The sequence below is a fragment of the Homo sapiens genome, chromosome 11 (assembly GCF_000001405.40).
Source record: "Homo sapiens chromosome 11, GRCh38.p14 Primary Assembly".
Lineage (NCBI taxonomy): Eukaryota > Metazoa > Chordata > Mammalia > Primates > Hominidae > Homo > Homo sapiens.
In genome coordinates this window covers 47,278,370-47,305,325 of record NC_000011.10, presented here as the reverse complement: position 1 = coordinate 47,305,325, position 26,956 = coordinate 47,278,370, and the positions used below count along the sequence as shown (strand labels likewise).

At 45.6% G+C, this 26,956-nt stretch overlaps 1 protein-coding gene across 105 annotated transcripts in view; it reads right to left on the bottom strand.

Moving 5' to 3' along the window:
* The window catches only part of MADD (MAP kinase activating death domain), a 60,844-nt gene that overhangs the window by 24,706 nt on the left and 9,182 nt on the right, over positions 1-26,956 (bottom strand). For 8 of the 105 annotated variants that reach the window (NR_164835.1, NM_001376648.1, NM_001376600.1 and 5 more), the window contains 18 exons: positions 26,247-26,327; positions 23,573-23,751; positions 22,710-22,945; positions 22,357-22,513; positions 21,045-21,148; positions 20,761-20,951; positions 20,132-20,385; positions 19,736-19,875; positions 18,792-18,893; positions 16,299-16,358; positions 15,833-15,935; positions 15,273-15,459; positions 15,027-15,177; positions 14,510-14,716; positions 12,730-12,783; positions 11,343-11,443; positions 9,759-9,830; positions 9,271-9,429 (listed from right to left, as the gene is read on the bottom strand). Coding sequence is in view for 97 of the 105 variants with exons in the window: in NM_001376648.1 (NP_001363577.1) it covers positions 9,271-9,429; positions 9,759-9,830; positions 11,343-11,443; positions 12,730-12,783; positions 14,510-14,716; positions 15,027-15,177; positions 15,273-15,459; positions 15,833-15,935; positions 16,299-16,358; positions 18,792-18,893; positions 19,736-19,875; positions 20,132-20,385; positions 20,761-20,951; positions 21,045-21,148; positions 22,357-22,513; positions 22,710-22,945; positions 23,573-23,751; positions 26,247-26,327 (2,538 nt within the window). In the remaining 8 variants the exon portion in view is untranslated. Of the gene's footprint in view, positions 1-9,270; positions 9,430-9,746; positions 10,291-11,342; positions 11,837-12,729; positions 12,784-14,509; positions 14,717-15,026; positions 15,178-15,272; positions 15,538-15,832; positions 15,936-16,298; positions 16,359-18,791; positions 18,894-19,735; positions 19,876-20,131; positions 20,386-20,760; positions 20,952-21,044; positions 21,149-22,356; positions 22,514-22,709; positions 22,946-23,572; positions 23,752-26,246; positions 26,328-26,956 lie in introns of all 105 variants that reach the window. The other 97 variants (NR_164839.1, NM_001376651.1, NM_001376616.1 and 94 more) reach the window with 40 other exon arrangements.

Sequence of the window (26,956 nt, the reverse complement as noted above, 5' to 3'; positions counted from 1 at the left end):
AGCAAATCTGTACCCCAATACCCAGGTGCCACAATAGGTTTGTGAGACCCTAAGCCTGGAAACCTGACTCCACAGCTACTCCACGCATCTGTACCTGGAACCCAGTGCCTCTGCAGCTGCTTGTAGGCCATGTCAGTCAGACCTGACACCAAGAGGGATTCTCTTGGCTGAGTCACTCCATTGTGAGGAAAATGAGAATAGGAGGACTCCAAAACTCCTTGACACCAAGGATATTAACAACATATACCACCACTGCCACTGCCACACTTCTATAGCCTAGGACTCTTGAGGCACCCATAGTTATTGCTCATGTTGAATGCAGCTGAAGAAGCTACACAGAAAACATACCACTACATCTATCCAGAAACAGAGTTGCCATACCCTTCCCAACTGGCACACTAAAACCCAACTGCATGTGAAAGTCTTTCTCTATGAAAGCCACTCCAGAGAGTTTGGAAGAAGTGACTGTTCTGCCAGATGTGGGGTATCAACACAGAGACATAAGAAACATGAAAAAAACAAGGACATATGACTCCACCACAGGAACATAATAACTCTTTGGTAATAGACCCCAATGAAAAGGAAATCAATTAATTGCCAGAAAATAAATTAAAAGTAATGATCTTAAGGAAATGCAATGAGATACAAGAAAATACAGATAGATGATTCAACAAAATCAGAAGAACAGTTCATGATATGAATTAGAAATTCAACAAAGAGATAAAAATCATAACAAAAAAACAGAAATCTTGCAGCTGAATAATTCAATGAACAAAGTTTAAAAAATACAATAGAGGGCCAGGCGTGGGGGCTCACACCTGTAATCCCAACACTTTGGGAGGTGAGGTGGGTGGATCGCCTGAGGTTGGGAGCTCAAGGCCAGCCGAAGCAACATGGAGAAACCCCGTCCCTATTAAAAAATACAAAATTAGCCAGGTGTGGTGGCGCATGCCTGTAATCCCAGCTACTTGGGAGGCTGAGGCAGGAGAATTGCTTTAACCCACGAGTCAGAGGTTGCGGTGAGCCGAGATAGTGCCATTGCATTCCAGCCTAGGCAACAAGAGCGAAACTCCGTCTCAAAAAAAAAAAAAAGGAAAAAATACAATAGAGAACTACAACAGCAGACTTGATCAAGCAGAAGAATGACTCTATATTTGAAGATAAGTCATTCGAAATTAGTCAGAGGGAAAAAAGTTAGAATGGAAAACAGTCAAGAAGGTCTACAACACTTAGGGGATCTCATTAAGTAAACAAATATTCATATTATTGGATTTCCAAAGAGAGAAGGGGAAAGGCATAAAAAACTTATTTAATGAAATAATAGCTGAAAACTTCCCAAGTCTGGGGAGAGAGATGGACAGCCAGATCCAGGAAGCTCAAAAGTCCCCAAACAGATTCAACCCAAAAAAGTCCTCTCCAGCCAGATGCGGTGGCTCACGCCTGTAATCCCAGCACTTTGGGAGGCCAAGGCGGGCAGATCATTTGAAGTCAGGAGTTCGAGACCAGCCTGACCAACACGGTGAAATCCTATCTCTACTAAAAATACAAAAAAATTAGCCGAGCGTGGTGGTGCATGCCTGTAATCCCAGCTACTCAGGAAGCTGAGGCAGGAGAAAAGCTTGAACCCAAGCGGCGCAGGTTGCAGTGAGCTGAGATCACACTACTACACTCCAGCCTGGGTGACAGAGTGAGACTGTCTCAAAAAAAAAAAAAAAAAAGGCCTCTCCAAGGTACATTACAGTCAAATTGTCAAAAGTCAAAGAGAGAATTCTAAAAACAGCCAGAGAAGGCCGGGTGCAGTGGCTCACGCCTGTAATCCCAGCACTTTGGGAGGCCGAGGCAGGCAGATCACGAGGTCAGGAGATCGAGACCATCCTGGCTAACATGGTGAAACCCCGTCTCTACTAAAAATACATAAAAATTAGCCAGGCATGGTAGCAGGCACCTTAGTCCTAGCTACTCAGGAGGCTGAGGTAGAATGGTGTGAACCCAGGAGGCGGAGCTTGCAGTGAGCCGAGATTGCACCACTGTACTCCAGCCTGGGTGACAGAGTGAGACTCCGTCTCAAAAAAAAAAAAAAAAAAAACAGCAAGAGAAAAGTGTTAAGTCACATTTAAGGGAATCTCTATTAAACTAACAGATTTCTCTGCAGAAACTTTACAAGCCAGTAGAGAATGGGATGATATATTCAAAGCGCTGCAAGAAAAAGAATCTCAGTCAAGAATACTATACCCAGCAAAGTTGTGCTTCAGAAATGAAGGATAAACTAAGTCTTTCCCAGACATGAAAAAAAAAATGAGGAAGTCATCACACCCTTACAAGACATGCTCAAGGGAGTCCTACATCTGGAAGTAAAAAGATGATAATTACTATCATGAAAATACACAAAAGTATGAAATCCACTTGTAGAACAGACACACAAAGGAGAAAAAGAAAAGAATCAAACCTTATCTCTACAGAAAACCACCAAACCATAATGATAAATGAGAGGAAGAAACAAAGGACATACAAAATAATCAGAAAACAATTAACAAAACAACAGAAGTAAGTCCACACTATCAATAACAACCTTGAATGTAAATAGATTAAATTCCCTCACTTAAAAGGGGTAGACTGGCTGAATGGATTAAAAAAAAAAAATACTTGACCTAACTATATGCTGCCTACAAGAAACTCATTTCACTAGCAAAGACACATACAGACTGAAAGTGAAGGGATGGAGAAAGATATTTCACACAAATAGAAACCAAAAGCAAGCAAGAGTAGCTATAATTATATCAGATAAAACAGACTTTATGTCAAAAACTAAAAAGAGGCTGAGCACGGTGGCTCACGCCTGTAATCCCAGCACTTTGGGAGGCCGAAGCGGGCAGATCACAAGGTCAGGAGTTTGAGACCAGCCTGGCCAACATGGTGAAACCCTGTCTTTACTAAAAATACAAAAATTAGCTGGGCATGGCAGCAGACACCTGTAGTCCCAGCTACTTGGGAGGCTGAGGCAGGAGAATCGCTTGAACCCAGGAGGTGGAGGTTGCAGTGAGCGGAGATTGCGCCACTGCACTCCAGCCTGGGCGACAGAGTGAGACTCTGTCTCACACACACAAAAAAAACCTAAAAAGAGACAAAGAAAGTAATTATGTAATAACAATAAGAGGATATAACAATTGCAAATATATATGCATTCAACACAGAACAGCTATATAAAGCAAGTATTATTAGATCTAAAGGGAGAGATACACACCAATACAATAACAGTTGGGGACTTCAATACCCCACTCTCAGCATTGGACAGATCATCTAGACAGAAAATCAACACAGAAATACCGGATTTATACTACATTTTACATTTAGATTGCATTTTAGACCAAATGGACCTAACAGACATTTACAGAACATTCCATCCAACAGGTGTAGAATACACATTCTTTTCATCAACACCCAGAACATTCTCTAGGACAGACCACATATGAGGCCACAAAATAAGTATAATGAGAAATTTAAGAAAACTGAAATCACAGCAAGTATCTTTTCAGACCACAAAGGAACACTGTGCTCTGAAAATTAGAAATAAATAACAAGAAACTTTTAAAATCATACAAATAAATGGAAATTAAACAATATGCTCCTGAGTGACCAATGGGTCAACAAAGAAATTAAGAAGGAAATTTAAAAATTTCTTCACACAAATGAACATAAAAACACAGCATACCAAAACCTATGGGATACACCAAAAGCAGTATTAAGAAAGAAGCTTATAGCAATAAACGTCACATCAAAAAAGTAGGAAGATTTCAAATCAACTTAATGATGCAGCTCAAAGAATTGTGAAAGCAAGAACAAACCAAACCCAAAATTAGAAGAAATAATCAAGATCAGAGCAGAAATAAAACTTGAGACTTAAAAAAATAGGCCGGGCGTGGTGGCTCATGCCTATAATCCCAGCATTTTGGGAGGCTGAGATGGGTGGATCACCTTAGGCCAGGAGTTTGAGACCAGCCTGGCCAACATGGCAAAACCCCATCTCTACTAAAAATACAAAAAAAAATTTAGCCGGTTGTGGTGGTGGGCACCTGTAATCTCAGCTACTTGGGAAGCTGAGGCAGAAGAATCACTTGAACCTGGGAGGTGGAGACTGCAGTGAGCCAAGATTGCACCACTGCACTCCAGCCTGGGCAACAAGAGCAAAACTCCATCTCAAAATAAATAAATTAATAATCAACAAAATGAAAAGTTCATCTTTGTAAAGATAAACAAAATCCACAAACCATTAGAGCTAGACTAACCAAAAAAAAAAAAAGAGAGAGAGTGAAAAGACCTCCACCAAGAAAACACCAAAAACAAAAAAGTAAACATTACAATTGACATCACAGAAAAACAAAAAATCACTGGAGACTATAACTATATGCCAACAAATTAGAAACGGATAAATTTAGACATAGACAACCTACCAAGATTTAACCAAGAAACAGAAACCTGAATAGTCCAATTTCAAGTAATGAGATTGAATCTGTAATAAAAAGCTTCCCATCACAGGGCACGGTGGTTCACGCCTATAATCCCAGCACTTTGGGAGGCTGAGGCGGGCAGATCACTTGAGGCCTGGAGTTCAAGACTAGCCTGGCCAACGTGGTGAAACTCTGTCTCTACTAAAAATACAAAAATTAGCCAGGCATGGTGGTGAATACCTGTAATCCCAGCTACTCAAGAGGCTGAGGTATGAGAATTGCTTGAACCTGGGAGGCAGAGGTTGCAGTGAGCCAACATCACACCATTGCACTCCAGCCTGAGCAACAGAGCGAGACTCTGTCTCAAAGAAAAAAAGCTGGGCGCAGTGGCTCACGCCTGTAATCCCAGCACTTTGGGGCGGGCGGGGGGTAGATCACTTGAGGTCAGGAGTTCGAGACCACCCTGGCCAACATGGTGAAACCCTGTCTCTACTGAAAATACAAAAATTAGCCAGGCGTGGTCGTGGGCGCCTGTAATCCCAGCTACTTGGGAGACTGAGGCAGGAGAACTGCTTGAACCCGGGAGGCGGGGGTAGCAGTGAGCCGAGATCGCACAACTGCACTCCAGCCTGGGCAACAGAGCAAGACTCCGTCTTAAAAAAAAAAAAAAAAAAGAAAGAAAAAAGAAAAGAAAGCCTCAGGACCCAATAGCTTCAATGCAGAATTCTAAAAACATTTAAAGAAGAACGAATACCAAATACAAAAGTATTTGATAAAAGTCAACATTCCTTCATGATAAAAGCTCTCAACAAGTTAGGTACAGAGCGAACATACCTCAAAACAATAAAAGTCATATATGACAAACCCACAACCAACATCATACTGAATGGGGAAAGATGAAAGTTTTTCCTCTACAATCTGTAGCAAGACAAGGATGTCTACTTCCACCACTTTTATTCAACTGGAAATGCTAATCAAAGCAATTGGCCAGAGAAAGAAATAAAGGGCATCCAACTTGGACAGAAGGAAGTCAAACTGTCCCTAAAATTAGGCTGGGTGTTGTGCTTCACACCTGTTAATCCTAGCACTTTGGGTGGCCAAGGCGGGTGGACTGCTTGAGCCCAGGAGTTCTAGACCAGCCTGGGCAACATGGCAACACCTTGTCTCTACAAAGAATACAAAAATCAGCTGGGCACGGTGGTGCATGCCTACAGTCCCAGCTACTCGGGAGACTGAGATGGAAGGACTGCTTGAGCCTGGTTCCATCTAAAAAAAAAAAAAAAAAAAAAAAAAAAGCCCTAAAATCTCCACTAGAAAACTCAGAACTAATAAGTGAATTCAATAAACTTGCAGGATACAAAATCAACATAAAAATCAGTAGTGTGTCTATATACCAACAATAAAATAGCAGAAAAAGAAATCAAGAAGGCAATCTCATTTACGATAGCCACAAATTAATGCCCTAAGAATAAATTCTTAGGAGAAATTTATCTTTTATGAAGGAGGTAAAAGATCTCCATGAGGAAAAATAAAAAACACTGATGTAAGAAAGAGTATAGGGAAAAAATGGAAAGATATACCATGTTCATGGATTGGACGAATATTGTGAAAATGACCATACTACCAAAAGTGATCTACAGATTCAATGCAATCCCTACCAAAATACCAACGGTATTCTTCACAGAAATAGAAAAAAAATCCTAAAATTCATATGGAACCACAAAAGACCCCAGATAGCCAAAACAATCCTGGACAAAAAGGAATCACACTACTAGACTTCAAAATATAAGACAAAGCTATAGTAACCATAACTGCATGCTACTGGCATAAAAAACAGACCCATAGACCAATGGAACAGAATAGAGAACCCAGAAAGAAATCCATATATTTATAGCCAACTGTTTTTTGACAAAGGAACCAAGAATATTCACTGGGGATAGGGACAGTCTCTTCAATAAATGCTGCTCGGAAAACTTGATATCCATTATTCAGAAAAATAAAACTAGACCCCTTAGCTCTCACCATATACAAAAATCAACCCAAAATGGATTAAAGACTTAACTGTAAGACCCAAAACTATAAAACTACTAGAAGAAAACGTAGCAGAAATGCTTCAGGACATTGGTCTGGGCAAAAAGTTTATGGAGACCTCAAAAGTACAGGCAACAAAAGCAAAAGCAAAAACAGGATTATATTAAACTAAAAAGCTTCTACACAACAAAGGACACGATGAAATGAGTGAAGAGACAGTCTGCAGAATGGGAGAAAATATTTACAAACTATTCATCTGACAAGGGATTAATAGCCAGAATATACAAGAAAGAAAAAACTCAACAGCAAAAAAACACAAATAATCTATTTAAAAATGGGCAAATGAGCTGAATAGATCTCTCTCAAAAGAAGACATACAAATGGCTAACAGGTGTTTTGGAATAATGGGCCTCTACACAGGCCTTGAAGCCAAACTGCTGTAGACGGTTCTCACTGCCGCTTCCATTTATGAGAAACTGATGGTTGCTATCTTCACAGTTATGCGGCTGAAGAGTACAAGCAAGCACTGAGATGTCTTATAGTAAAAAGTTCAGAAGATGCTCAAGGTGGAGGATTTTCTTCTAAGCGAAGAGAAGTAATTTTCCTATTACTCTGGCTCCTTCCACCACAAATGTCATCCTTATTGGTTTGAAAAGCATCTAAAAGTAAACAGGAAGTATAGCAGGCTAGCCCCGTTGCCAATTTAATTTTTACGATCCATGGTTAGATTTTGTGGTGAAGGTTGAACTAATATGTAAAGAAGGCCGGGCGCGGTGGCTCATGCCTGTAATCCCAGCATTTTGGGAGGCCGAGGTGGGCAGATCACAAGGTCAGGAGATTGATACCATCCTGGCTAACACGGTGAAACCCCATCTCTCCTAAAAATACAAAAAATTAGCCGGGCATGGTGGTGGGCGCCTGTAGTCCCAGCTACTCGGGAGGCTGAGGAAGGAGAATGGTGTGAACCTGGGAGGTGGAGATTGCAGTGAGCAGAGATCGCGCCACTGCACTCCAGCCTGGGCGACAGAGCAAGATTCTATCTCAAAAAAAAAAAAAAAAAGAAAGAAAGAAAGAAAAGAAAAGAAAACATTATTGAAAACCCTTGGCCGGGAGCAGTGGCTCACGCCTGTAATCCCAGCACTTTGGTAGGCCAAGGCGAGCAGATCACGAAGTCAGGAGATCAAGACCGTCCTGGCTAACATGGTGAAACCCCATCTCCACTAAAAATACAAAAAATTAGCTGGGCGTGGTGGCGGGCACCCGTAGTCCCAGCTACTTGGGAGGCTGAGGCAAGAGAAGAGTGTGAACCCAGGAGGCGGAGCTTGCCGTGAGCCGAGATCGCACCACTGCACTCCAGCCTGGGTGACACAGCGAGACTCCATCTCAAAAAAAAAAAAAAGAAAAGAAAAGAAAACCCCTAATAAACTGTCAGCACAAAAGAAAAATCAATCACTCAATCAGCCAATCAGTCTGTTCAGACTGAGAGAGAGTTAAGGCCCATTAACTTGAGTAGCCTCTCAGTCCTATTCCCAATCTCCACTCTGGGAGGTCACTGACTCTATTAAAAACACACATACAGAAGGCTCTGGGGGTGGGAATGATAACCAGTTTTAAATAGTTGGTTTCATTTAACTTTTATCTTCCTTTCTCCCCATAGGCCTTAAAGATAAGGACCTATGCGTATAAGCTCTTGTAGAGAACATCCATTCTCATCTCTGTTTAATAAAGTAACAAGTCTATCAGTGTTTTAACACAGCCTATAGAGGCACATACACATTAAAAAGCAGAGGCTGGGCACAGTGGCTCATGCCACTTTAAGAGGCCAAGGCAGGAGGCTCACTTAACCCAGGAGTTTGAGACTGGCCTAGACAACAGAGGGAAACCCCATCTCTACAAAAAACTAAAAAATTAGCCAGGCATGGTGGTGTATGCCTGCAGTCCCAGCTACTTGGGAGGCTGAGGTGGGAGGATCACTTGAGCCTAACAGGTCAAAGCTGCAGTGAGCAGTTGAGCAGTGACTGTGCCACTACACTCCAGCCTGGGCAACAGAGTGAGACCCTGTGTAAAAAAAAAAAAAAAAAAAAACAACAAAAAACAGATGTCTACGGCAAGGACTAAAAAGAATTCATCTCCTTCCAGCTGATCATGGGCTTACTGTGTGATCTAGGGAAGTTCTTTTTTCCTAAGGCATTGTTCCCCTCACCTATTAGAAGAGACTACTCACAGCAATATAGTGAATCACAAACTTCTTGAGTAGAAACCATGCCTTTTTCATCCCTGTTTCTTTAGCACAAAATCTGGCACTTAGTAAATCACTTCATGGATGTTTATTAATGAATGAAAACTTCAAATAACTGTTAGGAATATACTAAAATAAAATGCTATTTTATTTATAAATAGAGCAGTGACCAAAATAAAACTGGATAGTCCATAGAAATAGGCAGACTGGTACTAAACGAGAGCTGTAATTGTCCTGACATTGCCACAAAGGTATTACTTTGCCTGTGTTAAACCTGGGGGTTAATACTACATAGGATTCAAAGCCCTTACGTGACTGGGCACGGAGCCTAACTCATCAATGATTCAGGAGAGGGTTCTAAAAGCCCCAGATTGTGAGTCAAATGACTCTGAACAAAGCCTTAAGAAATGTTTTCCTTAAAGCCAAATATAAGAAGATTACCTCTTCCTTATTTAACCTTTACCTCTTTAGCGTCTCTTAACTTTCATTCTTTTCTTGCCTGCTTCCCTCCCCCATTAAAGAAATGGTTTTCTTTTGTTAATAAACAAAGCTTACAAAGATGGTGCTTGTGGCAGAGTTGGTCTCAATTTCACTATCAGACAAAGTGCCCCGAGAGCTTGCCAGGTGAACACTGCCCTCGCCACCTGGTCCATCACCTGCATTGCTGCTCAAGTCACTGTCAGCTCCAAGGGTCTCTCCAGAGCTATTACTCACCTGGAAAGGAAAAAAGGTAGTAAGAGACAGTCCCCAGGGATGGGCCCCAGAAATACCAAGCTGTTAGAGCTCCCTGCCACCATAAAAAAGTATTAAATTTCAAAAGTGTGTCAGATAGCCTCTGGAAGTACCTTCTTTATAAGATGAGAAGCTCTGGGTGAAATCTCGTATACACACACCTATGATGGTAAACATCTCCACCATGAGAACCATGCTGACCTGAGACTCAGAGCAGCCTCCAAAGAGAAAGTAGCACCCTTTTCCAAAGGGGAAATCCACACCCCACCCACCAAGATGCCAGTGTGGTGTTCCCCTACCACGGTGCTAACTTCAGAATCCTGACTTGAGCTGCGGATCATAACAGCTGGACTCACGCCGATGACAGAGTCTTGATCAGTCCTCTGAAACAAGACACAGGAACATTAGGGGAGGTGTCCAATCTCCTCTCAGTTTCCCACAGAAATACTGTACCTTTTTCTTTCTCCTCATCCCCACCCTTCTGTTATCATCCTTAGAGAAGTCACGAGCAACTTTTGTTTCCAGAATATAAAATATGTACAACTTATGTAATAAAAAAAAGAAATAGGCCGGGCACAGTGGCTCACGCCTGTAGTCCTAGCACTTTGGGAGGCTGAGGTGGGAGGATCATTTCAGCCCAGGAGTTGGAGACCAGGCTGGGCAACATGGCGAAACCCCATCTCTACAAAAAATACACAAACTTAGCCAGGCATGGTGGTGGGTGCCTGCGGTCCCAGATGCTCAGGACGCTGAGGTGGGAGCATCACTTGAGCCCAGGAGTTTGAGGCTGCAGTGAGCAGAGAGCACACCACTGCTCTCCAGCTGCAGCGACAGAATGAGACCCTGTCTCAAAAAAAAAAACAAAAAAACAAAAAACAATGCGTTAAAGAAGTACATGCTCACTGTAGAAAATACATGAAAGAATAAGGAAATAAGAACAAGCTGTAAATCTACCTCCCACGTTAACCACTGTTTTTAGTATATTTCCTTTCAGTTTTTTCTCAATACATTTTAAAAATAAAATTGGAGTCACACTATAGGTAGCTTTGTTAAACAGTTTCCCATGTCACTAAATTTTTGAAAACACAATCTTTAATGGATACTAATATTGCATTACATGGATCTATTATACTTATTTAATAATTCCCTTATCATTAGTTATTTATATTGTTTTGAGGTTGTTCATTTTTTTTTTTTTTTTTTTTTTTTGAGACGGAGTCTCACTCTGCGGCACAGGCTGGAGTGCAGTGGCGCAATCTCAGCTCGCTGCAACCTCTGCCTCCCGGGTTCCAGTGATTCTCCTGCCTCAGCCTCCTAAGTAGCTGGGATTACAGGTGCCCGCCACCACACCCAGCTAACTTTTGTATTTTTAGTAGAGACGGGGTTTCACTACGTTGGCCAGGCTGGTCTCCAACTCCAACTCCTGACCTCAAGTGACCCACCTGCCTCGGCCTCCCAAAGTCCTGTGATTACAGGCATGAACCACCGCACCTGGCTATTTTATTTTTATTTTTATTTTTTTTTTTTTTTGAGATGGAGTTTCACCTTTGTTGCCCAGGCTGGAGTGCAACAGCACAATCTCGGCTCACCACAACCTCCGCCCACCGGTTAAAGCATTTCTCCTGCCTCAGCCTCCCGAGTAGCTGGGATTACAGGCATGCGCCACCATGCCTGGCTAATTTTGTATTTTTCATAGGGGCGGGGTTTCACCATGTTGGTCAGGCTGGTCTCGAACTCCCGACCTCAGGTGACCCACCCGCCTCGGCCTCCCAAAGTGCTGGGATTACAAGCATGAGCCACTGTGCCCGGCTGTCTGACTGTTCTATTTTAACTTAAAGAAGTATTCTGAGACAGCATATTTAATACTTGCAAATTTCAACAAGGTTGTCACAAACCTGGGAACTAGACGTCAGGCTCACACCACTGTCTGCGCTGATCTGGGACTTTTTCTCCTCTGTCTCACCAAGGTCAAAGACAGGTTTGATTACTTCAGGCCCTGAGTAGGGGAAGACTTCTGTTACTCCGTGCACAAAGGCTAGGGGCAGGCTGGTAAAGGGGGTGGGACGGCAGCACAGGCTGTTCCCAGACCCGTTCAGCCCATCCTAGTCACCTTTCCAAGGACTACCCCCCACTCAGGACCCACTGGAAAAAGAGGACCCCAGATGCCTTAAGAACCAAGTAGGACAAATCAGACCTGGTCTCAATGGGTTCTCCAGCCATCTTCTCAACCTGAGAAAATTCTGAGCAAATCATCTTAAAACAGAGAAGCTCCACAAGGCTGGGCATGGTGGCTCACGACTGTAATCCCAGCACTTTGGGAGGCTGAGGCAGGTAGATCACCTGAAGTCAGGAGTTTGAGACCAGCCTGGCCAACATGATGAAACCCTGTCTCTACCAAAAAATACAAAAATTAGCCGGGCGTGGTGATGCACACCTGTAATCTCAGCTACTCGGGAGGTTGAGGCACGACAATTGCTTGAGCCCTGGAGGCAGAGGTTGCAGTGAGGCAAGATCGTACCACTGCACTCCAGCCTGAGCAGCAGAGCAAGACTCCATCTCAAAAAAAAAAAAAAAGAAAAGCTCCACGAACAAATGTCTAAACCACATTCCATGGCACTCAAGAGTCTGAGCTTCACTGGTACCTGAAACCATTTAATGGTCCCCAGGTCCCTTAATGCTTCCCAAACAAATGTGTCTAAAGGAGGTAGAAAAGGTTGGGCCCGATGAGATAAGAAACACCAGCTGTTTTGGTGGGCACTGCCTACCTCCATCCTACAACTTCTATGTTTGAGATGAAAACCACCCCCCTTGTCCCCCACCCACCCACAATGGTATGGCAGAAAGACAGAATGACAGAAAGCAAGAAAGCGTGCCTAGGCAAGCCACCAGAGAGTGGGGCAGCTACAGACTCAACATGGAGGGACAGCAACCATCTCTGCCAACTGTGCCCACAGGCCTTCTAACAGGTGTGGGAGATATCAGCCAATGGGGGGCACTAAAATAGGCAAACATTCTCCCCACCAACTCTGAAGCAACAGAGAACCAAGTTCTGGGGAGTTGTATTCAGTAGACACCTGGTTATAGCCTGATTGACACGAGGGGAGGGGGAAAGAAGCGGCCTACACACACCTAGGAGTCACATGCTACCTACCTGCTGCCATTCCAAACACGCTCTAAGAGCAAATTTGGGGTGGGGCTGACAAAGGGAGCCTGCCCCAACTGGGCCTGGGGAGTTGGCAGGTATGGAGGACTTGGGAACAGGAAAGGGCATTTGTTCCTTACTCTGTTTTTCCAAAGCTTTTTGCTTTTTCACTTCCTGGTGCTTGTTCCACAATTCTACCCCAGATGCAATGCAAGCAGGAGAGAAAGACAGAAAGTCAGAGGCTGGTCAGACAGACGAAATGGAAACCCACCCACCCAAGTCGATTCAGTCTCAGGCACTGGATTACCAACCAAGAGATACAAAGATATCTTCATGGGGAGAAGGGGCAGAAAACAAGAGATCTAACCCCTCCACCCAAACTCATGAACAGATTCCAAATTTCTAATTCCAATCCCAATGTGGCAGTAAAAACCCTGCAGAATGTTAGAGCTGGAAGTGCCCTTAACAAAGCTCCTTCATTTTTGCATGAGGAACTGGTCCTAAAGAGGCTGGAGCACTTGATCAAGATCATGTAACTTAGGATCCATTTAAACTCCCACCATGCCACACACTCTCTCTACCAAATGAGCTGGGGAAGGGCAATTTTTCAGATTCCAGATGAGACAGATGAACACCTCAAGCAGCCAGAGTTTCAGAAGGAAGAACACCAATCTTTGCTTGATTCACTGGACTGAACAAAGGCCAATTCATGCAGGCAGTTAGCATCCCTCCTCATTGCTCCTCAAGAAACCAACTCACCCCTACCTGCCCTACCCACCAGTGATCTGGAAAAATGCCTCCAGTTGAGGTGACAGAGAACATAAAATGGTCAAGACCAGCATCTTCATAGGGAAAAGCAGACAGAATGGCAACCACAGCAATTCTTTTCCTGGAAGGAACTTCAGAGTGTACTTAGTATGATTTCCTCATTTCCCAGATGAAGAGACAGATACCCTGAGAGGTGAAGTTATTTGCCCAAAGTTGCATTCCTAGTTGGAGGCTGATATGGGACTAAAACTCCAGATCTCCAGACTAGCAGGTCAGTACATTTTCTACAACATCACATGAGGCAGGAGAAAGCCAGGAGTTGACTGCTACTAGAATAATATTCTGCTGGCTAGGGAAGTGTAGCTCCCCTAAAAAGGAATCTGGTTCCATGTCACCATTTATGGGAGCATATGGCAACTGCTAATGGCCATGGCAATGAGATGTCAGCTGGAAGCAGAGTGCCTAGGGACCTAGAACCAGAAAAAGAAAGATCCAACCTCGATGACTCAAGGTCAAGCAGGGAGTGAGCCAAACAGAGGTGATGCCTAGAAAGCTCACTAAGGCACTGCCTTTGTGGGAACGGAGAAACACCAAATGTAAACGAGATTATAATCAAGTCCAGTGAAGAAGCATTTAAAGAACTGACTTGGAAACCTATACCTCAAAGATCCAGAACCCAGGGAAATGGGGTTGCCAGGCATGCCCCAGAGGAGCACATTCCAGAGGAGTATAATGGTTGGATGGGAGGACACTGGCTTCAGAGACACAAATGTCATAATTTTATAGCCCAAAAATGCATCTATAAACTTCCTGAGCACTTCCAGGAATTCTCTCCACTATGTGAAGAAATGCAGACGTAAATAAAAGGAGGGGCCAGGAGTACAGCTCACACCCCCTGCAGTAAGCCTCATTGGGCCCTCTAAACAAAACTTACCATTCTTCATCTAAGATACGGGGTGGGGGGTGGCTGTGGATGAAGCATAAAGACTAGAGAAGTACAAAGAAACACCACCAGAAATGGACACAGGCCCCCTTCCCTCTCTAAGAAGCAAAGCATGGGGCAGAGAAAGGCAGGATTCTGGATGAATTGAGGAGAAAGGGATATTTAAGAAGCCAGGACCCCTCCACCACACCAAACACACTGATACGTACCAATAGATGCTATAAAATTTTCTTCCTTTAAACTTCTGGTGTCCAGTTCCTTAGGACCCTTTCCTGTGGCACTTGGTGCCCGAGGTCCCAGTTGTGGAACTCTCAGTTGTGCCATAGCCTTTGGGTCCCCCCGCCCAGCTAGGCCAGGATCCTTGCCAACTGGGGTATTTACACTTTCTGTTGGACTTCTCTTCCGCTTGTCTGGTTCTGAGGGAAAAATATCAAGAGGTCAAGAGAAGTAGTGAGTAGGAATCAAGGCGCAGATATGAGGTGGGAGGAGCCAGGATACAGGAGGGTGCGGAATGGAAGAAGTTCAAGGAAAGATGAGCTGATGTCTTATTTTTCGTAACAAAGAATACCCACTGCGTATAAACATGCATTAGAAAATAAAATCCCAAAGCCTAATGGGAAGCAGCGTGGCACTGGGAAACGTGTCCTGGGTACACATATATTTTCTCTTCAGGAGACAAGTGGCAGAGTTAGGGATGGCGTGGTGCCCAGCAAGTACGATCCCTACCTTTACTATAGTAGTGGGTCTGGGCAATCTCCAAAAGCCCAAAGATGCTGGCCATGCCACCCAGACCCGCGTGGGCATAGGACTGCTCCAAGCTGAGGACTGTACACTTGAGGAGGTCTAACATTCCCTTGTACACCTTCCGACTGATCTCCTGCAACAATAACCCAGGGGCTAGCGTTGGCAAATTGCCTGTGGTGTTCACATCCCTCTCTCCAGTTACTCCGATTCCCTACCCCCAACACTGACCACATCCGGGATGATGTCCTGCCGGGCATCGTCCTCTGACTGCACCATGCGGTTCAGCTTGCTCAGGACAAAGACTCGCAGCTGCTCGCTCTCCAGCAGCCGGCGCACCTTTTTCATGTTGAGCCAGCCAACTCCCTGGCCGTCCAGCACGCTGTGCACCACCTCCTTCAGGAACTGCTGGTTCTCACTACAGGGTCCACACACCGCTTCTGTGGTCATCAGCTCCTTTGCAGAGCACCCCCCACCTTTCACCCAGACTAGATGTCTGCCTCCAGGGGTAAAACACAAAGCCATGTCTCTGAATGTCCAAGTGCACCACATCCCCACCTCTCTGGAGCACGCGATTTGTCCAAATACCCACCGCTGCTGATTAACCCCCCTCAACACTGTAAGCTTTCAGTTGCATGGAGATCAAGCCAGAATGAGAAGTGCTGGCAAGAAATTGATTACATCTACCCCATTGAGAGCTTCTCTCCCACTCTTGAGCATCCCTAAAGTTCTGTAGAGGAACCACCCCACCTCTGCCTGAGAACTTTTAAAACAGCTCTACCATTTATTACCTAGAATTGCTGGATCGACCCTGGGGTGATGGAGGTTCTCTTTTCACTGTTGGGCTGTGTTTAATGACAGATGACTTCTGATCCACTAACGCCCTCCTGTTTCCTGTGGCAGGGAAGGCAGGAATGAGAGACATCACTATTGTAGTACAGGAGCTCATGCCAGCACAGCCCTAAGTAGCCATGTTCCATGCCCGTTCCTCAGAAGGGCTGGGTGAGGGTAGCACCAAGGCATCATACGTAGGTAGAAACCAGCCATGGCAATGTGGAGGAGGTGGGGATGGAGACTCAGGCCACTCCACATGCACCAGCAGCAAGCCCCATGGGCAAGCATGGGCGTCACGGGGGACGGGGCAAGCAGGTCACTCATGTGACGCTGCTTGCTCCATGAGAAGGATGGCCCTCGGGCAGGCACAGAAGATGCTAGAGAAAAAAAAAAGATCATGCACAGCTCACAGGCAAGACCCACCTTCACCACTCCCGGGGCCGGCTTCAGTAACAATCTCCATTAGAGTATTTAGCCCAAATACTGGGACACAAAATACACAATTAGTAGGTGTACCACAATACCGCAACCCCTCTACCCCTCCGAGGAGCAGTAAGCCAGATAATCTGAGCATTCTCCCAAAGCTTGAGGAATGCACATAACCTTGGTTCTTGGGCACCTCAGAGCTGGAAGCCAAGTGACCAGGAGACAACCAAGGCTCTAAGAAAAGACCACCCTTAAAACTGGCCTCTCAAGCCAGGGGCGGGTAAATGACACAGGGAGCCTTCAGGTACTGAACACACACATGCATGAAACAGGGACCGCTGGTTTTCAGAAAACATCCAGCACAGAGGGCCAGGGGCCTGAGGGTATGTGCAGGGAAGCAACCCATCTTGCAGATGCTGTTGTGGGGAGTGGGGTCAGGGTATGAGGATGGGAGATGGGTGAGAGGGTAAGTGCAGCAAATGCGACAAAGCATCAGCATGCAATGAAAGAGTTTCAATCGCTCTTCTCTTCAAATGTACCAAATGAAGGCCAGTGACACTGACACCCTTCCATCCTTAGCCTACCCGGCCACATGTGGATTCCCTGGCAGTGCTAGTTCGCTCCTTTCACTGCCAGCTCTGATGTCCTTTTGCCCATTTATCCAATGTTCCCATCCTCACCTAAGAACATGTCTTAGACTCCTGACAACTTTGTTTGTTTCTGTTGGCTTCTTTTAGAGACAGGGTTTCACTCTGTCGTCCAGGCTGGAGTGCACTGGCCTAATTATAGCTCACTGTACCTCAAACTCCTGGGCTCAAATGAACCTCCTGCCTCTGCCTAACAAGTAGCTAGGATGACAGGTGTGAGCTACTGCACCCAAGTAACCTGACATTTTTTACCACTAGGAATGAGAGGTCAGTTAAAGAATACATGAGGTTGGCCAGGTGCGGTGGCTCACGCCTGTAATCCCAACCCTTTGGGAGGCCAAGGCGGGTAGATCACAAGGTCAGGAGATCGAGACCATCCTGGCTAACACGGTGAAACCTTGTCTCTACTAAAAATACAAAAAATTAGGCAGGCGTGGTGGCAGGCTCCTATAGTCCCGGCTGCTCAGGAGGCTGAGGCAGAATGGTGTGAACCCGGGAGGCGGAGCTTGCAGTGAGGCAAGATTGCACCACTGCACTCCAGCCTGGGCAACAGAGCGAGACTCTTGTCTCAAAAAAAAAAAAAAAAAAAAAAAAATACATGTTTCTCACTGCACTTCCTACCACAGTTAAATATTTCGTCATACCATCCAGAGAAAACAAAAAAATCAGGCCAGGTGCAGTGGCTCACACCTGTAATCCTGGCACTTTGGGAGGCCAAGGTGGGCAGATCACTCAAGGTCAGGAGTTCAAGACCAGCCTGGCCAACATGGTGAAACCCCGTCTCTACTAAAAATACAACAATTAGCCAGGCGAGGTGGTATGTGCCTATAATTCCAACTACACGGGAGGCTGAAGCATGTGAATCACTTGAGCCTGGATGGCGGCAGTTACAGTGAGCCAAGATCACCACCTTGCACTCCATCCAGCCTGGGTGACGGAGTGACACTGTCTCAGAAAATAAAAAAAATAAAAAATCAAATTCAGAAAAGCCCCTGAAACTGTCAGATAGCACAAACCAATTCAAATAAGGTTTCGTTTTTTGTTTTTTGTTTTTTTAAGACGGAGTCTTGCTCTGTCACCCAGGCTGGAGTGCAGTGGCGCGACCTCGGCTCACTGCAACCTCCGCCTCCTGGATTCAAGCGATTCTCCTGCCTCAGCCTCCCAAGTAGCTGGGATTACAGGTGCGTGACACCAGATGGCTAACTTTTGTATTTTTAGCAGAGACGGCGTTTCGCCATGTTGGTCAGTCTGGTCTCGAACTCCTGACCTCGTGATCCACCCGCCTCGGCCTCCCAAAGTGCTGGGATTACAGGCGTGAGCCACCGCGCCTGGCTTTCACATAAGGTTTTAACTGCCCCTAGAAACTAACCAATACTACCTGGCGCACTCATTAAGCCCTGGGTTGACAGGCTTATGAGTGCGTGAGAGGTGAGAGGCTGTGCTCTATGAACGCTGCCAGGCTCTCCATAACCATTCTCTGGTGGGCCAGCTCCTTGGCACGGAATTTGCCCTAAGTTCATGCAGTGGCAACCCAGCAGACGACTGGGGGCAGCTGATGATCCCTATGTTAATCATATACCCTGACAGGGTCCTCCCGCGAAGCAGCAGTAATCCCACAGTTGCCATTGTCCTAAATGACATAACAGGGCCGTCTCTAGCTACAAAGATGGTTTCCATCTGACAACCATCAGAGCCCAGGATGTGCGGTGAAAGCCATGAGGAGCAACATGAGGGACGACAACCAGGTCAAAGGATTCAGCAGATGCAGGGCTCCTGACATGAACCCACAGCCCGAAACATCTCCCGGAGAAACCTGGCTTGGCAAAAGGAAGGCTGTAGTTACCTTTCAGACTGGGGAAGGGCGTGGCCTTCTCTCGGGCACCTTTGGTGGGCAGTGTGAGGTTTGAAAGACTGAAGCTGGTACTGTGGTTCCGATAGAGGCTGCCTATCAAGGGGAGGGTGCAAGAGCGATGACTTGGCAGAGTAAGTAATCAAAGCAGTAGACTAATGACTATCAGCATCTGCACCTCCCTCCTTTTCAAACACAATCCCAGTTTGGTGGATCAGATCATCTCTGATCTGTCTTAGAAAGGATCAAGTCTAACTCCAGGCAAACAATGGAGCCACTGCCAGGATCAGCCAAAACCCAGTAACAGCTTTCTCTGTCCACCTCACATGATAATATCCAAGTCTCTCATCCACTGCTACACAGCATGAAAGCTGGCAGTTAACAGGCTTCTGGTCTGAAGCTGGCACTGTCCCTCCCTGGCTGCTGAAGAAACTCACAATCACAGGGATCCTCTACGTTCGCTCTCTCTAGTCCATGGTCTGTCTTCAATCTTTAGCTGATACGACCCTGCACTGCTGGGAATACTATCTAAGCACAAAATTCAATCTCATATCGATTTCAAAGCACATTCATGGAAGAGTCCGTTATGAGGCAAAGAAGATACCAGATATGGACTCAAATCAAATTTGACCAGAGTATTTCCACAAAATATAAGTACAAGTGTGTGATTTTGAATTTACTGCCTGTTTTCCAGTTACCCATCCAGCTGTCTTACCTGAAATAGACTGAAATGTCCAGGCATAATGACTAATCTGTCCCTGTCCTTTACTGACCTCACTTGAAAACGCCTTATTCAGTATCACCCAAATGACTGGATTAGGGCTTGCTAATGCCAACCTAGCCCTACATGTGAAGTTCTAAGCAACATTTGCCATAGTCAGGCTCTGCTGTAGAGAAAATGGAACACAGGAGTGAGAGAGACAGCTGAAGGCACTTACTGGCAAAAGACATGATGCCCCCGAAGCCCTCGGTGCTGGTGTTGGAGACGGTGGAGTTGGGAGAGCTTGCCCGAGAGTCTGACTCTGCATCTGAGTCACTTGCCAGTCTCAAGCTGTTGGGCCGCAGCAGCTTTTGAGCCCTTGAATGCACAGAGGCACCTATGATCCCCAGGCAGGGGTACCTGATCTTGGGAGTATGGGCCATAATTATGCTATACTACAGTTGCCACTCCCTTCCCGTAATTCCTAAGCCCCTGGATCAGAACACCATCCTCTGGGGATGGCAGGACCACGAGAGCATTCAGACTTCTCAGACTTTCTGATTAACCCTTGCCCAGGGTCCACTGAGGTGAGGTCCTTCAGTCACCCATCTAGAAGGGATGCCCAGGCTCTCACCGATTGCCACTGACATGTTGGCTGAATCGGGGAGTGTAACTTTCCCCCTGCTCATCCTCATCTTCCTCAGGGGGAAAGCCATATTGGGGCTCGAAGTATGGATTGTCATAGATTCGCCGGCGCACTGACCCCTCTCCAATTTCTGCCTGACGTCTGTCCACGTTCGATTTGCCAATGCTGGGAGGCACGGAAGGGAGGGGCTTGGAGACGCCTACTGCTGCCTTATCATCCATCTCCGTAGAGTCAGCAGGTTCCTAAAGGCCGCATGAAATTAAAAGTGGTTACCTGGTGCCCAATGGTACCTTCCTGTAATCCCAGTTTGGCAGGGCTGGACCAGGCCTGTCAGATTTCTAGCCTAAGGAATGTGTGGGAAATGATCTCTGTAGCACCCGTTCTCTGTCCCCACAAACTATATAAGGGGGATCATAGCTGTACCCTGAACAAAGCCTGATGACCTCCTTTTGGGGTCAAAAGTAGGTCTCTTAGGCTCTAAGCTCTAGGGCCCATGAAGAGGAAGATGAGAAAATTGTGTGAGAAGCAGCAAATGAATAGCTACAGCCTGGCTTTCCTAATAGATGAGGCCCACATCCCAGGCCATGGTTCTCACTCATCCACCGCTCCTCACTTACAGAGTTGGCTCCGTGGATGACAGTGCTGGGGCTGCTGCTGGCTGTGGTGCTAGAGCTGGAGCGCAGTGGGGGGTTTTCCTGAGAGTTCTCACTGTCTGGGCCAGGCTCTTCTGCTTCCTTCTGATTCTGCAGCTCGTCAATCTCCACCTCGCTGGCATCCCCCAGTGCTGCATGTGTCAGAGGGTCCACATCTGCCAAAATCCAAGGGAGGCAGGTACAGACCACTCCATCCTTGGGCCCCCAACCCCTGCCCAGGGCTGGCCAATCTCCCCAAGCACACTTACTGGGAGTATCACCATTAATGTCACATTTCATCATTTCACTGACAAAGTCACCAAGGGAGGAGTAAGAAGAGCTTGAATCGTCATAATCCATACTATCACTGCCACTGCAGAGTGAAGTGCATAAAAAACAAACAAAACAGAAAGGGGCAGGGAGAACACCTACAATCAGCACCAGGAAAAATAAAAGGGGGAGCACTCCGAACTCAAGGCCAGGGAACAAATCAAATAAAGAAGCCAAGAAAAACAGTCAACCAAAGCATAAAGACTGATATGGGGGCCGGGACAGTGGCCCATGCCTGTAATCCAAGCACTTTGGGACGCTAAGGCGGGTGGATCACCTGAGGTCTGGAGTTTGAGACCAGCCTGGCAAACATGGTGAAACACCATCTCTACTAAAAATACAAAAAGTAGCCGGGTGCAGTGGCTCGCGCCTGTAATCCTAGCACTTTGGGAGGCCGAGGCAGGCGAATTGCTTGAAGGCATGAGTTTGAAACCAGCCTGGCCAACATGGTGAAACCTTGTCTCTACTAAAAACACAAAAAATTAGCTGGGCGTGATGGCATGTGCCTGTAATCCCAGCTACTCGGGTGGCTGGGGCAAGAGAATCGCTTGAACCCGAGAGGCGGAGGTTGCAGTGAGCCCAGATCACGCCACTGCGCTCTAGCCTGGGCGACAGAGCAAGACTCCATCTCAAAAAATATATATATACAAAAATTAGCCAGGCAAGGTGGCAGCACCTGTAGTCCCAGCTACTTGGGAGGCGGAGGCAGGAGAATCACTTGAACCTGGGAGGGAGAACTTGCAGTGAGCTGAGACGGCACCACTGCACTCCAGACCGCGTGACAGAGCAGCAAGACTCTGTCACATACATACAAAAATAAATAAATAAGGCCGGGCGCGGTGGCTCACGCCTGTATTCTCAGCACTTTGGGAGGCCGAGGCGGGCAGATCACAAGGTCAGGAGATCGAGATCATCCTGGCTAACACGGTGAAACCCCATCTCTACTAAAAATACAAAAAATTAGCCGGGCGTGGTGGCGGGCGCCTGTAGTCCCAGCTACTCGGGAGGCTGAGGCAGGAGAATGGCATGAAGCCGGGAGGCGGAGCTGGCAGTGAGCCGAGATTGCGTCACTGCACTCCAGCCTGGGTGACAGAGCGAGACTCCGTCTCAAAAAAATAAATAAATAAAATAAAATAAAATTAAAAACACTGATATGGGAAGCCTATGAGACTTTGCCTTCTCTGTGCTAAAGAAGGGCTAGTGAGAGCCTCCTCACCTTTAAAACCTTTTTGCTGCCCTAAGGATGCTCACCTATCATCAGTAGGTTCGGAGTCAGAGTCCCGCTCTGGTGGTACACTCAGGGCCTCAGCCAGCTGGGAATTGCTGTCATAGACGCGATAGTGGATAGGCTGCAGCTGATGAGCATACCACTTTGGCTTGTCACCAATCAGGGCTGGATCAAACATATCTACCCCATGAGGGAAAAGAACAGAAAGTCAGCAGCAAGGAAAAAAAGGCAAGCAACGCCTGAAAGAAAGGCAGGAAAAAGTCTAAAGCAGAGCCAGGATAGAAGGCACAGGTCAAACATTAGCAAAGGAAAAATCAAAGTCCATCAGGAGGACAGAGGCACAAGGCAGAGCGGAGCAGAGGGCAGGTAGACTCACTGTTGTGAATTCGCTGAAAGGCATAGTTGGTGGGGTTAAGGATCCATTCCCCAAAGTACTCCACAGCCTGAGTCCTGGCCAATTTCTCGGCAAAAGGAGTCTGCCGGGGACGTGAGGCTAGAAAGGAGCCAGCTTGAAAAGCTACCACAGGCCGAGGAAAGAGGCGCAGGGTACGCGTGTGCATCTGAAATCCCTGCAGCACGTTGGCGGAATTGAAGAACCGTACCATGGCAACCCTGGGGAAGCAGATGATGAGATAATCTGAGACCCATAGGGTAAGGATTCCCATGATCCAAAGTCTTAGAACACCTCCCAAAGCCATCACTTAACAGGCTTCCAACATCAAGGGGAGAGATATCTTAAAGAATCATCAGCCCCCTCTTCATCCTGAGCACGTGGTTTACTATTTCTTCACTTTGATTTTACTAAGGTGGAAAATAACAACCAAATATAGTATATATTTTATACATAAAGAAACCCTGGGCTGGGTGCGGTGGCTCACGGCTGTAATCCCAGCACTTTGGGAGGACAAGGCGGGTGGATCAACTGAGGTCAGGAGTTCCAGACCAGCCTGGCCAACATGGTGAAACCCCGTCTCTACTAAAAATGTAAAAATTAGCCAGGCGTGGTGGCAGGCGCCTGTAATCCCAGCCACTCAGGAAGCTGAGGCAGGAGAATCACTTGAACCCGGGAGGTGGAAGTTGCAGTGAGCTGAGATTATGCCATTGCACTCCAACAAGAGTGAGAATCTATCTCAAAAAAAAAAGGAACCCTGGTTCAGAGAAATAGTCTGCCCCAAGGTCCCTTAGAGAGCAAAGAAATTAATTTAAGAACTTGTGATTATACAGTCGGCTTGGTCTTACCTGGTTGCAACATCCACAGAATCCACATCATTGCCATAGATGAGTGGGTTGAATTCAGTGGACGGTGTGGACTGCAGGTCATTAGAAGGCCTTCCCAAGAGAAGGGGGATCTCCTGGCCCTCATGAAATTTCTCCAGATTGAGGATGGGCTGGGTGTTGAGACTCATGCTGGCCAAGGCCTGTGGAACAACAAGAAAATTCCTTACACAAGGAACGTCCCTGGGCAGCTAGCCAATCTTAACTCCAAGGAAAAGGCCTTCCTAAGGTCTGCTACCTCGTATTCTCTGGTCAAAAAGTTCTGCAACAAAGAACGGTGCTAATTTGCAAATCACGGCCAACCCATTTCAGACCTTTCATCTTTGAAATAAAAATCCCAATATTCTAGCCTTTAGAAAACAGTTTGAAATATGTAGCTCTCCATCTTAAGACAACCTAGCTCAAGGCAACTTGATCTTATCTGAAGTCCACGACAGTCGTTTGCAAAATTATTATAGTCATTAAATGTTTTTTAAAATTGGAATCTATGTGAAATTATATAGAATGGAAATTTGAAAACAGAGCTGCTCTGAAGGACACAGGAAGCAGAGCCTCAAATGCTCAGGGCTCCCAAGCTAAATCGGCCCCTCAGAGGCTCAATGGGGCAGCGTGAAGACCACTGGTCGAGAGCAGCAGTGCTTCTCAAATGTGAGTGAGGAGAAGAATCACCAGGGGAGGCTGTTAAAATGCAGATCCCGATTCAATATGCCTGGAGTGATCCTGCACTTTAACAAGCCCGAGTGATGCTAATGTTGCTGGTTCACAAACCACACTTTGAATAGCAGGAGTTAGAACACAGGATCAATGAGTCCAAGGATCTTAGCTCCTACAAACATTTAAAATATAATTCTGGCTGGGCACGGTGGCTCATGCCTGTAATCCCAATACTTTGGGAGGCCAAGGCAAGTGGATCACCTGAAGTTAGGAGTTTGAGACCAGCCTGGCCAACATGATGAAACCCCAGCTCTACTAAAAATACAAACAAATTAGCTGGGCACAGTGGTGTGTGCCTGGAATCCCAGCTACTCAGGAGGCTGAGGCAAGAGATTCGCTTGAACTTGGGAGGCAGAGAATGCAGTGAGCCAAGATTGTGCCACTGCACTCCAGCCTGGGTGACAGAGTGGGACTCCATCTCAAAATAAATAAATAAATTAATTAATTAATTTAATTAAATATAATTCCATTTATTAACCTCTCCATCTCATTAGTCATACTAAAGCAATCATCAAGACTGAAAACACAGCAAGTGAAGGCAGCTAGAGAACTTTCTGAACTTAAAATTCCCACTAGACTCTGCAGTAACAAGGTATCATATTATATTAGCAGTGATGAAGCAACTGAGGTGAGAGGGATGAAACACAATGACCCATTTAAACCCAAACATAGCATCTAGAGATACTACTAAGTACTTCAGACAACACAGAAAAAGATTTCTAAAGGCCCTTCAAATGAGAGCAGGGATTCCTAAAAATAAACACAGTGTTATCTACTGGTGTTCCTGTACAACACATAAGGCAGAGGAAGGGAATGAAGCTTTGTCATGTGTTACCTTCAGGTACTGTGTTCAGCATGCAGAGGAAGAAGAAAATCAATCAATAAAAAATGGATGTGAGGAATTACTCAAAGAAAGGAATTTTTTTGTTTGTTTGAGACTGAGTCTCACTCTGTGGCCCAGGCAGGAGTGCAATGGCGCAATCTTGGCTCACTGCAACCTCTGCCTCCTGGGTTCAAGTGATTCTTCTACCTCAGCCTCCTGAGTAGCTGGACTACGGGCGTCCACCACCATGCCCGGCTAATTTTTGTATTTTTAGTAGAGACAGGGTTTCAACATAATGGCCAGGCTGGTCTTCAACTCCTGACCTCGTGATTCACCTGCCTCGGCCTCCCAAAGTGCTGGGATTACAGGCATGAGGCACCGTGCCCAGCCAAATAAAGGAATTTTTGAAGAAAGGAACCCTCAGGATCAACTCTAGAAGATAATATAAAAGCAGCCAGACGGTCCACACTACTAACTTCCACCTAACAAGACTGAGAAAATCGGCCGGGCGCAGTGGCTCACGCCTGTAATCCCAGCACTTCGGGAGGCTGAGGCAGGCGGATCATGAGGTCAGGAGATAGAGGCCATCCTGGCTAACATGGCAAAACCCCGTCTCTACCAAAAATACAAAAAAATTAGCCGGGTGTGGCGGCGTGCGCCTATAGTCCCAGCTCCTGGAGAGGCAGAAGAATGGCGTGAACTCAGAAGGCAGAGCTTGCAGTGAGCCGAGATCGCGCCACTGCACTCCAGCCTAGGGGACAGAGCAAGACTCCACATCTCAAAAAAAAAAAAAAAAAAAGACTGAGAAAATGTTCTGAAGCCATAGAGAGTGGCACACATACAAGAAACAGAGAGTGAAGGGCTATTTTATACAGCATCATAAGCATTAGAAGATGGTAAAGCATACAATGAATTGGAATCAAAAACAGAAATTCACTCTGCCACCCAGAAATGGGATACGCGTTTTCTTAAGCCCATCCAGGGTGAAGAAAACTACTCCACTTGAAGTTTGATAGGAAATTGGCTCTGAGAATAGCTGTCTTCTTATAGGAATCCCACAGCATCTAATACTCCCCTTTCTTTCCTTCGTTCTTCACCTACCTGCTTTAAATGCTTTTTCAGCTCTAGTGATTCTGGTTCTGGCAGGATAGGCAGCACTTCTGCATTGGTGGGGGCAATCACCTGCACCAGAGAAATGATAAAAGACGTGACCTTAGAGTTTATTGCTCAGGAATTTCACTTACATAAATAAAAATAAGAGGACGTATATACATTATTATTATATAAACGAATATACATTATATAACTGCACAGTAAGATATATGTACACACATATATGACATACATATGCATCTGAAATGAAATATAACTTAATGTTATTGGTTATTATCTCTAGATAAAAGGATTATGGTTTTTCTTTTCACTTATTTTATTTACGCTTATTTTTATTTTTTTTAAGTTTTACAATGAGCACACATAAGGGCTTCCCACCAAAGTCTGAATGTATTCACATTGCAGAATGGTCATATAATTAATTAAGCCTGCACTGAAAGACAGTTTCTTACTGGAAACTATACCCCAGGGAAACCATTAAGAGATGATCTATACCACATGTAATGGCCCTCAGATCACAACTGTCTGACTGCTCTTGGAGGATATGGTGGGGGGTCACTTAATTCTGGCAAAAATAAATCCTGTAATTCTCTGAGACCTAACCAAGGGTTTATTTGGCTAATAAGGTAAAAGGAGCATTTAAAAAAACTTGTTTCAGTAAGTCTCGCAATAGAAATTATCCAACAACTTAGGACGTT